Raw genomic sequence first — 15,550 nt, 5'->3', positions numbered from 1 at the left:
CCCAAAGTGCTGGAATTACAGGTGTGAGCCACTGTGCCTGGCCTATCTTTATCAGTCTAACTAAACAAATGTTAATATCGGCAGGACTCTATCAACTAAAGCTCTTTAATTAACCCAACATTCTTCTCAGTTATAGTGTGAAGGTAAGTGTAGCTCCTGAGAACTACATGGGGAGCTGTGGAAAATACAGAGCTTTACGTATATTATATCTCCGAATCATCACAAGAACCCTGCAAGAAAGTGGAATTACTTTTATTAAAAAGATGAGAAAACTGAAGCTTAGAAAAGTTCAGATTTGCCCAAAGTTCATCAGTTAGGATGTAAGAAACCAGGATTTGAACAATTACGTCTCAGGCTCAAAAGCCTTTGTTGTTTCTACTATCCATTTTTGCTATTTTAAGTTTCAGACTCTTCCAATCATCCAAAAGAGCTTAAAATTCAGTTGAGACCCAGCTTTAACATTCAGAATTTTCTAATTATTTGGATTAAATCAAGGACATGCACAAATGGTAGCCAAGGGGCAGAATGAGAGACCTGTATTATTTGGATTGAAGGGTGTTTTAATACAGGAAAATCGGATCTGGATGCATTCAGGTGGTTACTCTCGACTTCCACAGATCCCGTGACCTTCCATTATTTTACAGTCAGCCCCTGAAGGTAGTGTTTGCAACCCTTGAAAAAGATTATTCACGGATGGAACACATGATAACTCACTACAAACCAGACTATTTAGTTAACAAGATAGTCTAACAAATAATAATTCCATAACTTAGTAAGAGTAGCATATACATTAAATGGGAAGAAAATTGAGGGCTGCCTCTTGCCAACACCCCACATGCCAATATGGTTGATCTCTGTTTAATAATAAATTAATAAAAAATAAATATTACATACTAGTTCAAGGCCAGAAGATAGGTTCTAACCCTTACTCTTACCACTAACCAGCTGGGTGACAACGCAAATCATCTAGCATGTTTGGATCAGAGAATCTTCACAATAAGTGAAGGAGGCTGGATAATGTGAACTTTAAATTCAAGGTCTAGAAGATGAACTCATCCAGTAAACATTTTTAAAACTATCTGCTGTGGTGATGGTTGTACAATAATGTGAATGTACTTAAGTCCAGAAAATTGTACACTTAAAACAGTAAACTTTATGTTACGCATATTTTACCATTAAGCATATTTTACTATACAATAAGCATAAGCATATTTTACATAAGCAATTTTACCATACAATAAAAAATATGTACGGGCAAGGCACTGTAAGCTTATTTTAATTTATTTATAAAACATGTAAGACACCATCTCTGTCCTTCAAAACCATGAAATCTAGTAGCAGTACTAATGTATGTATGAATATAAAATAACAATAATTTAAGACTGAAAGAATAACCACAAGAGAATAAACATGATGATGGCGATACAGCTAACATTCTCCGAGTATAAACAAACTGCTGATAATGGAAGGTTATTTCTGATGGGGCAGTACAGTCCTCTTTAGAATTTTCTCTTGAGGAATTGGACTTTAAATAAGGTAAACTCTTATCACAGTTCTCTAACAGGAATTCACAGACCCCACAGTCCTTATTCACAATAACGAAGTGTTACTCACTGGGACATGGGTCAGAATGGTGGAAGCCAGGAGCTCTCTTGCTTCTTCTATTTTGGTTTTCTTTGGTCCACCTCCCCACATCCTTTGCCTTCTTACTTTGTTCCCTATATATTTTAATGCCTATAAAAAACAGATTACAATAATGTTTGAATGACATCACTGGAGGTAGTTTAGCAAGCACCTAACCACATGTACAGTATGAGCGAAAGAGATAAAGACCCTGGTTATAGAGAAAGCTGTACTGGGTCTAGTTGAAAATCAACGTTTATCATAAATCAATGACAAAAAGCATAGCATACTGCCTAACACACTGGTTCCCTTTTTTCTCTTACTAAAAAAAATGATACATTGTCATTGTAGGAAATTTAGAAAATACAGACACAAGTAAAATATATTTGTGTGTGTGTGTGTGTGTGTGTGTGTGTGTGTGTGTGTGTAGACATATAGCAGCCATCAGTCCTTCACCCAGAGAAAACCACAGGTAAATTTTATAGTAGTACTTTTTTCCTCTCAAAAATGAATCATACCATGTAAGACCCCTACATTGAAAGCTACAAAACAGTGCTGACAGAAAACAAAACCTAAATAAATTAAGGGTCATGACATGTTCGTGGACTGGATGATTCAATGGTATTAAAAGTGGTTTAATGTTAAAATTCTCTCCAAACTGACCAATACATTCATAACTGTTCATTATACGCTTAGCAGGCTTAAAAAGCAAAAACTGACTAATTCTAAAATTCTAGATTCTAAAATTTACATGGAAATGCAAAGGACCTGGAGTAGCGAAAACAGGATTGAAAGAAAAAAGTTGGAGTATTATATTACCTGATTTTTAACTCTAAACCTAAGTAATCAAAACAGTGTGATACTGGCACAAGGATAGACAAATAAATCAATGAAAGAGAATAAAAAGTCCAGAAATAAACACATACTAAATGGTCAGTTGACTTTTGATGAAAGTATCATAGCAATTCAATGAGGAAGGAAAAATCTTCTCAACAAATGGTGTTGAAACAACTATCCATAAACTAAAAAATTAATCTTGACCCCTACCTCAAAACAAATATAAAAATTAGTTTAAGATGGATTTTAGACCTAACCATAAAAACTATAAAGTTTCAAGAAGAAAACTTTGAAGAATATATTTCTGACCTTGGGGTAGGCAAGATTTCTTTAAACAGAACACAGAGAGCAATAAATATAAAAGCTAAACAAATAAAAAAATCCTCCTAAGTTTTTTCAAAATTAAAAGAATTAAGAAAACAAATAGGGAGTTAATGGACTGGGAGAAAATACATAATGCTGACAAGGAAGTTACATCCAGGATTTGTTTTTAAAAGGACTCTTAAAGTCAATAATAAAAAGACAATTCACTAAGAAAAATGAACATTTGGCTCACACTTCACAGAGAAGAAAATACAAATAGCCAATAAACACATAAGGGCTCAACATCATTTGTTACCATAAAAATAAAAACTAAAACCATGAGATACCACTATACACCCATTAGAGTGGCTAAAATTAAAAAGACTAACAACACCAGATATTATGAGGACATGAAGCAACCTGAACTTTCTATCAGGCTGGGTGTGGTGGCTCATGCCTGTAATCCTGCCACTTTGGGAGGCCGAGGCGGGCAGATCACCTGAAGTAAGGAGTTCAAGACTAGCCTGGCCAACATGGCGAAACTCCGTCTCTACTAAAAATACAAAAAGATTAGCCGGGCATCGTGGTGCACACCTGTAGTCCCAGCTACTTGGGAGGCTGAGGCAGGAGAATTGCTTGAACCCAGGAAAGGGAGATTGCAGTGAGCGGAGATCATGCCACTGTACTCCAGCCTGGGTGACAGAGTGAGGCTCTGTCTCAAAAAAAAAAAAAAACAAAAAACAACTCTCATACACAGCTGGTGTAAATGCAAAATGGTACAATCATTTTGGAACAAGGTATATATAAAAATTATATACATATCTGCTCTCTGATTCAACAATTCTTTTTTTTAAAATTTTATTATTATTACACTTTAAGTTTTAGGGTACATGTGCACAATGTGCAGGTTTGTTACATATGTATACATGTGCCATGTTGGTGTGCTGCACCCATTAACTCGTCATTTAGCATTAGGTATTACCTCCCAATGCTATCCCTCCCCCCTCCCCCCACCCCACAACAGTCCCCGGTGTGTGATGTTCCCCACCCCGTGTCCATGTGTTCTCATTGTTCAATTCCCACCTATGAGTGAGAACATGTGGTGTTTGGTTTTTTGTCCTTGCGATAGTTTGCTGAGAATGATGGTCTCCAGCTTCATCCATGTCCCTACAAAGGACATGAATTCATCATTTTTTATGGCTGCATAGTATTCCATGGTGTATATGTGCCACATTTTCTTAATCCAGTCTATTGTTGTTGGACATTTGGGTTGATTCTAAGTCTTTGCTATTGTGAATAGTGCCGCAGTAAACATACATGTGCATGTGTCTTTATAGCAGCATGATTTATAATCCTTTGGGTATATACCCAGTAATGGGATGGCTGGGTCAAATGGTATTTCTAGTTCTAGATCCCTGAGGAATCGCCACACTGACTTCCACAATGGTTGAACTAGTTTACAGTCCCACCAACAGTGTAAAAGTGTTCCTATTTCTCCACATCCTCTCCAGCACCTGTTGTTTCCTGACTTTTTAATGATCACCATTCTAACTGGTGTGAGATGGTATCTCATTGTGGTTTTGATTTGCATTTCTCTGATGGCCAGTGATGATGAGCATTTTTTCATGTGTCTTTTGGCTGCATAAATGTCTTCTTTTGAGAAGTGTCGGTTCATATCCTTTGCCCACTTTTTGATGGGGTTGTTTGTTTTTTTCTTGTAAATTTGTTTGAGTTCATTGTAGATTCTGGATATTAGCCCTTTGTCAGATGAGTAGGTTGCAAAAATTTTCTCCCATTCTGTAGGTTGCCTGTTCACTCTGATGGTAGTTTCTTTTGCTGTGCAGAAGCTCTTTAGTTTAATTAGATCCCATTTGTCAATTTTGGCTGTTGTTGCCATTGCTTTTGGTGTTTTAGACATGAAGTCCCTGCCCATGCCTATGTCCTGAATGGTATTGCCTAGGTTTTCTTCTAGGGTTTTTATGGTTTTAGGTCTAACATGTAAGTCTTTAATCCATCTGGAATTAATTTTTGTATAAGGTGTAAGGAAGGGATCCAGTTTCAGCTTTCTACGTATGGCTAGCCAGTTTTCCCAGCACCGTTTATTAAATAGGGAATCCTTTCCCCATTTCTTGTTTTTGTCAGGTTTGTCAAAGATCAGATAGTTGTAGATATGTGGCATTATTTCTGAGGGCTCTGTTCTGTTCCATTGGTCGATATTTCTGTTTTGGTACCAGTACCATGCTGTTTTGGTTACTGTAGACTTGTGGTAGTTTGAAGTCAGGTAGCGTGATGCCTCCAGCTTTGTTCTTTGGGCTTAGAATTGACTTGGCGATGCGGGCTCTTTTTTGGTTCCATATGAACTTTAAAGTAGTTTTTTCCAATTCTGTGAAGAAAGTCACTGGTAGCTTGATGGGGATGGCATTGAATCTATAAATTACCTTGGGCAGTATGGCCATTTTCACGATATTGATTCTTCCTACCCATGAGCATGAAATGTTCTTCCATTTGTTTGTATCCTCTTTTATTTCATTGAGCAGTGGTTTGTAGTTCTCCTTGAAGAGGTCCTTCACATCCCTTGTAAGTTGGATTCCTAGGTATTTTATTCTCTTTGAAGCAATTGTGAATGGGAGTTCACTCATGATTTGGCTCTGTTTGTCTGTTATTGGTGTATAAGAATGCTTGTGATTTTTGCACATTGATTTTGTATCCTGAGACTTTGCTGAAGTTGCTTATCAGCTTAAGGAGATTTTGGGCTGAGACGATGGGGTTTTCTAGATATACAATCATGTCATCTGCAAACAGGGACAATTTGACTTCCTCTTTTCCTAATTGAATACTCTTTATTTCCTTCAACTGCCTGATTGCCCTGGCCAGAACTTCCAACACTATGTTGAATAGGAGTGGTGAGAGAGGGCATCCCTGTCCTGTGCCAGTTTTCAAAGGGAATGCTTCCAGTTTTTGCCCATTCAGTATGATATTGGCTGTGGGTTTGTCATAGATAGCTCTTATTATTTTGAGATATGTCCCATCAATACCTAATTTATTGAGAGTTTTTAGCATGAAGGTTGTTGAATTTTGTCAAAGGCCTTTTCCGCATCTATTGAGATAATCATGTGGTTTTTGTCGTTGGTTCTGTTTATATGCTGGATTACATTTATTGATTTGTGTATGTTGAACCAGCCTTGCATCCCAGGGATGAAGTCCACTTGATCATGGTGGATAAGCTTTTTGATGTGCTGCTGGATTCGGTTTGCCAGTATTTTAATGAGGATTTTTGCATCAATGTTCATCAAGGATATTGGTCTAAAATTCTCTTTTTTTGTTTTGGCTCTGCCAGGCTTTGGTATCAGGATGATGCTGGCCTCATAAAATGAGTTAGGGAGGATTCCCTCTTTTTCTATTGATTGGAACAGTTTCAGAAGGAATGGTACCAGCTCCTCCTTGTACCTCTGGTAGAATCCATCTGGTCCTGGACTTTTTTTAGTTGGTAAGCTATTGATTATTGCCTCAATTTCAGAGCCTGTTATTGGTCTATTCAGAGATTCAACTTTTTCCTGGTTTAGTCTTGGGAGGATGTATGTATCGAGGAGTTTATCCATTTCTTCTAGATTTTCTAGTTTATTTGCATAGACATGTTTATAGTATTCTCTGATGGTAGTTTGTATTTCTGTGGGATCGCTGGTGATATCCCCTTTATCACTTTTTATTGCGTCTATTTGATTCTTCTCTTTTATTCTTTATTAGTCTTGCTAGCAGTCTATCAATTTTGTTAATCTTTTCAAAAAACCAGCTGCTGGATTCATTGAGTTTTTGAAGGGTTTTTTGTGTCTCTATTTCCTTCAGTTCTGCTCTGATATTAGTTATATCTTGCCTTCTGCTAGATTTTGAATGTGTTTGCTCTTGCTTTTCTAGTTCTTTTAATTGTGATGTTAGGGTGTCAATTTTAGATCTTTCCTGCTTTCTCTAGTGGGCATTTAGTGCTATAAATTTCCCTCTACACACTGCTTTGAATGTGTCCCAGAGATTCTGGTATGTTGTGTCTTTGTTCTCATTGGTTTCAAAGACCATCTTTATTTCTGCCTTCATTTCATTATGTACCCAGTAGTCATTCAGGAGCAGGTTGTTCAGTTTCCATGTAGTTGAGCGGTTTTGAGTGAGTTTCTTAATCCTGAGTTCTAGTTTGATTCCACTGTGGTCTGAGAGACAGTTTGTTATAATTTCTGTTCTTTTACATTTGCTGAAGAGTGCTTTACTTCCAACTATGTGGTCAATTTTGGAATAGGTGTGGTGTGGTGCTGAAAAGAATGTATATTCTGTTGATTTGGGGTGGAGAGTTCTGTAGATGTCTATTAGGTCCACTTGGTGCAGAGTCGAGTTCAATTCCTGGTTAACTTTCAGTCTCGTTGATCTGTCTAATGTTGACAGTGGGGTGTTAAAGTCTCCCATTATTATTGTGTGGGAGTCTAAGTCTCTTTCTAGGTCACTAAGGACTTGCTTTATGAATCTGGGTGCTCCTATATTGGGTGCATATATATTTAGGATAGTTAGCTCTTCTTGTTGAATTGATCCCTTTACCATTATGTAATGGCCTTCTTTGTCTCTTTTGATCTTTGTTGGTTTAAAGTCTGTTTTATCAGAGACTAGGATTGCAACCCCTGCCTTTTTCTGTTTTCCATTTGCTTGGCAGATCTTCCTCCATCCCTTTATTTTGAGCCTATGTGTGTCTCTGCACCTTAGATGGGTTTCCTGAATACAGCACACTGATGGGTCTTGACTCTTTATCCAATTTGCCAGTCTGTGTCTTTTAATTGGAGCATTTAGCCCATTTACATTCAAAGTTAATATCGTTATGTGTGAATTTGATCTGTCATTATGATGTCAGCTGGCTATTTTGCTTGTTAGTTGATGCAGTTTCTTCCTAGCCTTGACAGTCTTTACAATTTGGCATGTTTTTGTAGTGGCTGGTACCAGTTACCGGTTGTTCCTTTCCAAGTTTAGTGCTTCCTTCAGGAGCTCTTTTAGGGCAGGCCTGGTGGTGACAAAGTCTCTCAGCATTTGCTTGTCTGTAAAGTATTTTATTTCTCCTTCACTTATGAAGCTTAGTTTGGCTGGATATGAAATTCTGGGTTGAAAATTCTTTTCTTTGAGAATGTTGAATATTGGCCCCCACTCTCTTCTGGCTTGTAGAGTTTCTGCTGAGAGATCCGCTGTTAGTCTGATGGGCTTCCCTTTGTGGGTAACCCGATCTTTCTCCCTGGCTGCCCTTAACATTTTTTCTTTCATTTCAACTTTGGTGAATCTGACAATTATGCGTCTTGGAGTTGCTCTTCTCAAGGAGTATCTTTGTGGCATTCTCTGTATTTCCTGAATTTGAATGTTGGCCTGCCTTGCTAGATTGGGGAAGTTCTCCTGGATAATATCCTGCAGAGTGTTTTCCAACTTGGTTCCATTCTCCCTGTCACTTTCAGGTACACCAATCAGACCTACATTTGGTCTTTTCATATAGTCCCATATTTCTTGGAGGCTTTGTTCGTTTCTTTTCATTCTTTTTTCTCTAAACTTCTCTTCTTGCTTTATTTCATTCATTTCGTCTTCCATCACTGATAGCCTTTCTTCCAGTTGCATCGGCTACTGAGGCTTCTGCATTCGTCACATAGTTCTCGTGCCTTGGTTTTCAGGTCCATCAGGTCCTTTAAGGACTTCTCTGCATTGGTTATTCTAGTTAGCCATTCATTTAATTTTTTTTCAGTTTTTAACTTCTTTGCCATTGGTTCGAACTTCCTCCTGCAGCTTGGAGTAGTTTGATCGTGTGAAGCCTTCTTTTCTCAACTCGTCAAAGTCATTCTCCGTTCAGCTTTGTTCTGTTGCTGGTGAGGAGCTGCGTTCCTTTGGAGGAGGAGAGGTGCTGTGATTTTTAGAGTTTCCAGTTTTTCTGCTCTGTTTTTTCCCCATCTTTGTGGTTTCATCTACCTTTGGTCTTTGATGATGGTGACGTACAGATGGGTTTTTGATGTGGATGTCCTTCCTGTTTGTTAGTTTTCCTTCTAACAGACAGTACCCTCAGCTGCAGGTCTGTTGGAGTTTGCTAGAGGTCCACTCCAGACCCTGTTTGCCTGGGTGTCAGCAATGGTGGCTGCAGAACAGCAGGTACTGGTGAACCGCAAATGCTGCTGCCTGATCGTTCCTCTGGAAGTTTTGTCTCAGAGGAGTACCTGGCCGTGTGAGGTGTCAGTCCGCCCCTACTGGGGGGTGCCTCCCAGTTAGGCTATTCGGGGGTCAGGGAACCACTTGAGGAGGCAGTCTGCCCATTCTCAGATCTCAAGCTGCATGCTGGGAGAACCACTACTCTCTTCAAAGCTGTCAGAGAGGGACATTTAAGTCTGCAGAGGTTACTGCTGTCTTTTTGTTTGTCTGTGCCCTGCCCCCAGAGGTGGAGCCTACAGAGGCAGGCAGGCCTCCTTGAGCTGTGGTGGGCTCCACCCAGTTCGAGCTTCCCAGCCGCTTTGTTTACCTAATCAAGTCTCGGCAATGGTGGGCGCCCCTCCCCCAGCCTCGCTGCCGCCTTGCAGTTTGATCTCAGACTGCTGTGCTAGCAATGAGCGAGACTCCGTGGGCATAGGACCCTCCGAGTCATGTGCGGGATATAATCTCCTGGTGTGCCGTTTCTTAAGCCCGTTGGGAAAGTGCAGTATTAGGGTGGGAGTGACCCGATTTTCCAGGTGCCGTCTGTCACCCCTTTCTTTGACTAGGAAAGGGAATTCCCTGACCCCTTGTGCTTCCTGGGTGAGGTGATGCGTCGCCCTGCTTTGGCTCACGCACGGTGCGCTGCACCCACTGTCTGGCACACCCCAGTGAGATGAACCCGGTATCTCAGTTGGAAAGGCAGAAATCACCCGTCTTAGTGCGTCGTTCACGCTGGTAGCTGTAGACCGGAGCTGTTCCTATTTGGCCATCTTGGCTCCTTAACAGCAATTCTATTCTTAGGTACACATTCATGAGAAATGAAAATGTCCACACATCCACACAAAGATTTGCTTATACAGTCTTATTTATAATTACTAAAGACTGAAACACCAAGTGTCTATCAATAGGATAAACTGTGGTATATTCATATAACGAAATACTACTCAGCAATAAAAAGAAATGAACTACATGGATAACTGACATAAAAAGGAATGAAAAGAAATAACTTGGATGAATCTTAGACAATAAGCTCAGCAAAAGCTAGACACAAAAGAGTATATATGGCCTAATTCCATACACAATGCTGTAAAATAGGTAAAACTAATCTATGGTGCAAAAATCACTAAACTATGATGCCTAATTCCATATATAAAGTTCTGTAATTGGCAAAACTAATCTACGGTGCAAAAATCAGAATAGTGGGGAAAAAAATCAGAGAGTAGAGGTAAAGATTGACTAGGAAGGGGCATGAGGGGGAACTCTGTGGGATAAGGAAATATTCTATATCTTGTAAAGTCATACAATTAAGATTTGTACATTTTAGTGTACATAAATTTACTTAAAATAACCAAGTAAGAGTGTTGACAACTTTTGAAGGTAGGCCTTGGATACATGAGCATTTATAACACTATTCTCTGTACTTTGTATATGTTGAAATTTTTCCTAATCAACAATGTTTAAAGAAGAGGCATATGTGGTTCTTATTATTTTGGAACAACAATGTGCTTTTTTTTTTTTTTGAGACAGGGTCTCACTCTGTTGCCCAGGCTGGAGTACAGTGGTGTGATGTCAGCTCACTGCAGCCTCAATCTCCTAGGCTCAGGCAATCCTCCCACCTCACTCAGCCTCCCAAGTAGCAGAACTACAGGCACACGCCACCATGCCCAGCTAATTAAAACAACGACAACAACAACAACAACAACAACAAAACCTTTGGTAGAAACAGGGTCTCACTATGTTGCCTAGGCTGGTCTCCAACTCTTGGCCTCAAATGATCTTCCTGCCTGGGCCTCCCAAAGTGGCAGTATAACAGGTGTGACCTACTATGCCTGGCCAAGAATGAACTTAAAAAAAAAAAGACTTTCAGCTTAACAGAAGAAAAGGCTGGGATCTTTGATTCTTTAACTTGGAATTCCTGTCCAATTACCTGCTTGGGGAATTCCTTTTTCATGCTTCAAAACCTAGATCAGGTATCACTTCCTCTCCGAAGGCTTTCCTAACCCCACTCCTCTTTCTCTGCAGTTTTAATTCTTTATGCATTCAGGATTGCATATTTTAATTCTTGTTCATATCACATTATGTTTTAATGATCTATTTACATGTATGTTTTTCCTACTAGACTTGGTTGGTGGGAATTCCGTCATCTTTTTCTTTGACTCCCAGTGATTAGTACAGTGTTTGGAATTGAATGAAACTCTGTCCCCATGATAAGATTTGGACTTCAAATCTAAATCTTTCCCATTAAAAGGCCATTAAAGTTTAAGATAAATTAAAACCCTGAAAACACTTGCTGCAGTGACCTAGTAGTAAGTAGTAACTAAGTAACTGAAGAAAGCAGGTCAGTTGGCAGGAACCATGAGTAGATAGGCAGTTCAGTTTTCCCCCAACTAAGCTGTCTTCAATAAATGTTGGCCTTCTAGTTTCCTTGTGAAAAAGGCTAAAATTTTTCACTTGTTTGAGGGAGAAATAGAGGAACACAGGTGAGCAGGGTATCCCTTGTGATGCAAAGGCCAAGATAACATGCCTAGTGCCTCCTATCCCCCGCTACAGCTAGTACTTTCTTCTCTATATACTAGAGCCCAAGACAATGATGGTGTAAAACATACATGACCAACACAGAAAGAAGGCTTCAGGGAACAGAAGAAATGTGAGAGAGACTACAAAGCGAGGCATAAAAAACGGAGTCTCACTCTGTCACCCAGGCTGGAGTGCAGTGGCGCGATCTTGGCTCACTGCAACCTCCGCCTCCTGGGTTCAAGCGATTCTCCTGATTCAGCCTCCCGAGTAGCTGGGATTACAGGCACCCACCACCACGCCCGGCTAATTTTTGTATTTCTAGTAGAGGCGGGGTTTCACCATGTTGGCCAGGCTGGGTCTTGAACTCCTGACCTCAAATGATCCACCCACCTCGGCCTCTGGATTACAGGCATAAGCCACCATGCCTGGCCAAAAAAACAAAACCCCACAGGTTTTAAGCAATCCATTAAAGTGCCACATCTTCCAAAGTTCTATTATATAAAATAAAGTGTGATATGGTTTGGATCTGTGTCCCTACCAAACCTCACGTCAAATTGTAGTGCCCATTGTTGGAGGTGGGGCCTGGTGGGTGGTGGCTGGATCATGGGGATGGATTTCTCATGTCTGATTTAGCACCATCACCTTGGTGCTGTCCTCCTGATAGTGAGTTTTCCCAATCTGGTTGTTTAAAAGTGTGTGGCACCCCCTCCTCCCTCACGCTCTCTTGCTCTCACTCCCACTATATGAGACACCTTGCCCCCTCCTTTGCCTTCTGCCATGATTGGAAGCTTCTTGAGGCCTCCCCAGAAGCAGGTTTTGGTTCCTGTACAGGCTGCAAAACCATGAGCCAATTAAACCTCTTTTCTTTATAAATTACCCAGTCTCAGGTATTTCTTTTTTTGAGGAAAGGTCTTACTCTGTCACACAGGCTGGGGTGGCACAATCATGGGTCACTGCAGCCTTGACCTCTCAGGCTCAAGTGATCCTCCTGCCTCAGCCTCCCAAGCAGCTGAGACCACTGGTGCCTGCCACCACGCCTGGCTAATTTATTTTTATTGTTTGTAGAGATGGGGTCTTATCATGTGGTCCAGGCTGATTCGGTGTTTCTTTATAGCAATGTGAGAACAGACTAATATAAAGTGTACTTACTACATCTTCATTTTGAATAGCATAGAATATTCATGTTTTCGTAACTGTTAATATATGTTCTACATACCAACTATTTTGGGTTATTTGCATCTCTATATCCTTTTATTAGTTTCAATAGCTAATATGTGCCTTAATCCTGCACACAGAGTACGAGCACTGTCAAAGTTATACTTCCCTTTCGAGGAAAAGGAACATTTGTCTTTCTTATGTTAACTTCCTTCCATCTTTTCCTGCCATCTTCTCACTAATCTGATCTAATTTAGTTAGCTGACATTTTCTGTCAGAACCTATTTAACAGAAATAAATGAATGATTTTCCAACCTACTGTTTGGGCTCTGCTCAAACAGCTTTACAATGCTAGGGTTATTTGACCCCAATGATGATGTTTGAAATAAACTGCATACCGGATTTCACTGAAGCCACTGAGGAACCATTAAGGTAAACTTGTAGGGCACTACACAGCATTAAAGAATAGGGTATCTCCCAAAATGGAACCAAATATTCCTGTTTGCAGGGTAGATTCTACATTTTCTGCCTCCTTGATATTTCTTAATGTTTTCTCTTCATGTTCTTGGAACCCTTGGACAATGTAACTTTAGTGTACAACAAAGATTCATGCCTACCAAATATTTCATTTTTGATAAAGGCCAAAAATAGAATCTCCTAAATCCAAACCACCCTTCCTGGTGCTGCCTGCCCTGTAACTGCAGTCAACTATTAATTAACTGTAGAAAAAGAGGAAGACGGTGATGAGAATAATCCTTACTGATTTGTGCTTTGGAATTATATATATATACTGACCTATTTCGATCTTCCTAAATATCTAGTGTAGTCTACAAAAATATCAATACTGATTTGATTTCAGAATACACACTAACAGATATAAGTGGGAAATGCTTTCTCTACAAGCATCCTGGGTGAAGAGAAAAAAGCAGCCCAGAGTTTACATATGTCATACATAACCCACAGAATAGACAATGTACACGTGGATAGGTAAGAACTGTCTGTTGTGATTCTATAGTGGGGAATTCCCACCTCCCAGGATGGCTATGAGGGATGTTAACTTTGATTTATACTTAGGAAAGCACTTGCAAATATGGGACTAAAATCCTAAGTATGGCTGCTGGGGCTCCCTCCATGTGGGAAGGGAAGTGCAATTATTTTTACTATGGGGTGTGTGTGTGTGTGTGTGTGTGTGTGTGTGTGTGTGTATTTCTCAGTCTTCATCTTTGAGTCTTGCCCTAAAATTCCCAGGGTCCAACCAGGAGTGCCTGAGCAGGTCAATGAAGGCTCTGCAGCAGTAAAAGGGACTGATCCTGGGTTTTCCTTGCTGTCCAAAGCAGCACTGGGAATTCAGGAAAAGAAATAGAAACCACATACAACTGGATGCCTAAAGCAACTGAAGTAGGGAATAAAAAAAGATATTAAAGAGAAATGCATGCACACATACACACACACACACACACACACACACACACACACACACAAAACCTGTACACGAGAGTTGCCATAGTTTAAAAAGTATATTATCACTCAGGCAAATAAGGAAAAAAAAACAGTACTTCCTATTATATCAAAACAAACACCTCTTCGCCATATATCCCCTATTCTAAGTCGGGCACCATAGGCTCCTAATTTGTCTGGGCAAACTCCTTCCTCCAAACCTGACGAAAGTGAGTTAAAGAAACTTCACTCCTCCCATATCTCCCCAATACCTTTCCCAAATCTATGAGCCCAAAGCCATCACATCCGATGAGCTTTATCAATGAGCAGCATTAAGTCTCCAATTCCATTTCATAGCAAAGGACAACATGAAAAGACACACCTGCATCTGTGTGAAAATCTGAGCTTTCTGGCACTCTTCCAGACTGGGCCCAAATGCAGCCATCACGTGCTCCTCTGTTCCAATCATCTGCACAATTTCCTGGTCACTCTCAACACCCATGGCCTAGGAAGGAAAGAAAAGATAGAAAGAGTGTTGGCTTTGTGTTAACTCACTGACATTTGCTTATGCTAATTTGGCATTGTTTGTGGGTATTACTTCTAAGCAAAAGCTAGCTCTTCTCTCAGAAATGGTGCCATCTGGCATTGGCAGCCTTGCCCAAGCTGCAGAAAAACCTGAAACAGATATTTTGATTAGAAAGTGGAAAACAAACATTCTCAAACATTTTTTGCATGTGTACTATCTGCTAAAATTTTTAAATATTCTAAGAGTTTCATCACGAAAAAAGGAGGCTGGGAGGTATGGTAAAGACAACTGGTCATGACTACAAAGGCAAACTGTAAAGACAAACAGCCAAAAGGCAGTGAATCAGAAAAGATGCATTGCTGAAAATAAGCAGAACCCCAATCAGTCTTGTCACAAAATTAATTTTTCTGAGAACTGTCAAATCACTCATATTTTTCCTAAAAAGGAAAAGAATTTTTCCTAAAACACGTTTTACCTCACTATTCTAAAGATATCAAACCAAACTTCATGCAGGTTTCAAAGGAGACTTAAAAAGTAGGAACACATGGGCCAGGCATGGTGGTTCACACCTGTAATCCTAGCACTTTGGGAGGCCGAGGCAGGTGGATCACCTGAGGTTGGGAGTTCAAGACCAGCTGGGCCAACGTGGCGAAACCTCATCTCTACTAAAAATACAAAAATTAGCCAGATGTGTTGGCATGTGCCTGTAATCCCAGCTACTCGGGAGGCTGAGGCAGGAGAATCGCTTGAACCCGGGCGGTGGAGGTTGCAGTGAGCTGAAATTGTGCCATTGCACTCCAGCCTGGGCAACGAGAGCAAAACTCCGTCTCGGGAAAAAAAATAAGAAAATAAAAAAAGTAGGAATACACTTAAGAGGTTTCAGAAACCCACTTAAGTGTTTCAAGGTGGCAGCAGCAACGCAAGTCTTTGTAGATTCCATATGGTACTAGGGCTCACTCCTTCACACAT

The 15,550-nt window shown here is 40.1% G+C and overlaps 1 protein-coding gene across 3 annotated transcripts in view, besides 2 other annotated features; it reads right to left on the bottom strand.

Annotated features, from left to right (window-relative positions):
* Positions 1–15,550, bottom strand: part of POLR3B (RNA polymerase III subunit B) — a 152,451-nt gene that overhangs the window by 102,608 nt on the left and 34,293 nt on the right. For all 3 annotated transcript variants that reach the window (NM_018082.6, XM_017019621.3, NM_001160708.2), the window contains exons 10-11: positions 14,438–14,560; positions 1,615–1,734 (exon numbers count right to left, since the gene is read on the bottom strand). In NM_018082.6, the coding sequence (NP_060552.4) occupies positions 1,615–1,734; positions 14,438–14,560 (243 nt within the window). The remainder of the gene's footprint in view (positions 1–1,614; positions 1,735–14,437; positions 14,561–15,550) is intronic.
* Positions 8,937–9,436: an enhancer, noted in NCBI's record as "H3K4me1 hESC enhancer chr12:106791933-106792432 (GRCh37/hg19 assembly coordinates)". NCBI's record gives its function as "activates a minimal SCP1, AML or CMV promoter by ChIP-STARR-seq in naive H9 embryonic stem cells {active_cell/tissue: H9 hESC(naive)}" and the evidence as "EXISTENCE:reporter gene assay evidence [ECO:0000049][PMID:30033119]".
* Positions 9,437–9,938: an enhancer, noted in NCBI's record as "H3K4me1 hESC enhancer chr12:106791431-106791932 (GRCh37/hg19 assembly coordinates)". NCBI's record gives its function as "activates a minimal SCP1, AML or CMV promoter by ChIP-STARR-seq in naive H9 embryonic stem cells {active_cell/tissue: H9 hESC(naive)}" and the evidence as "EXISTENCE:reporter gene assay evidence [ECO:0000049][PMID:30033119]".

Source organism: Homo sapiens, chromosome 12, assembly GCF_000001405.40.
Source record: "Homo sapiens chromosome 12, GRCh38.p14 Primary Assembly".
In the NCBI taxonomy this organism is placed as follows: domain Eukaryota; kingdom Metazoa; phylum Chordata; class Mammalia; order Primates; family Hominidae; genus Homo; species Homo sapiens.
Note: the sequence above shows the minus strand (reverse complement) of the source record. Positions and strands in the feature narration are given on the sequence as shown.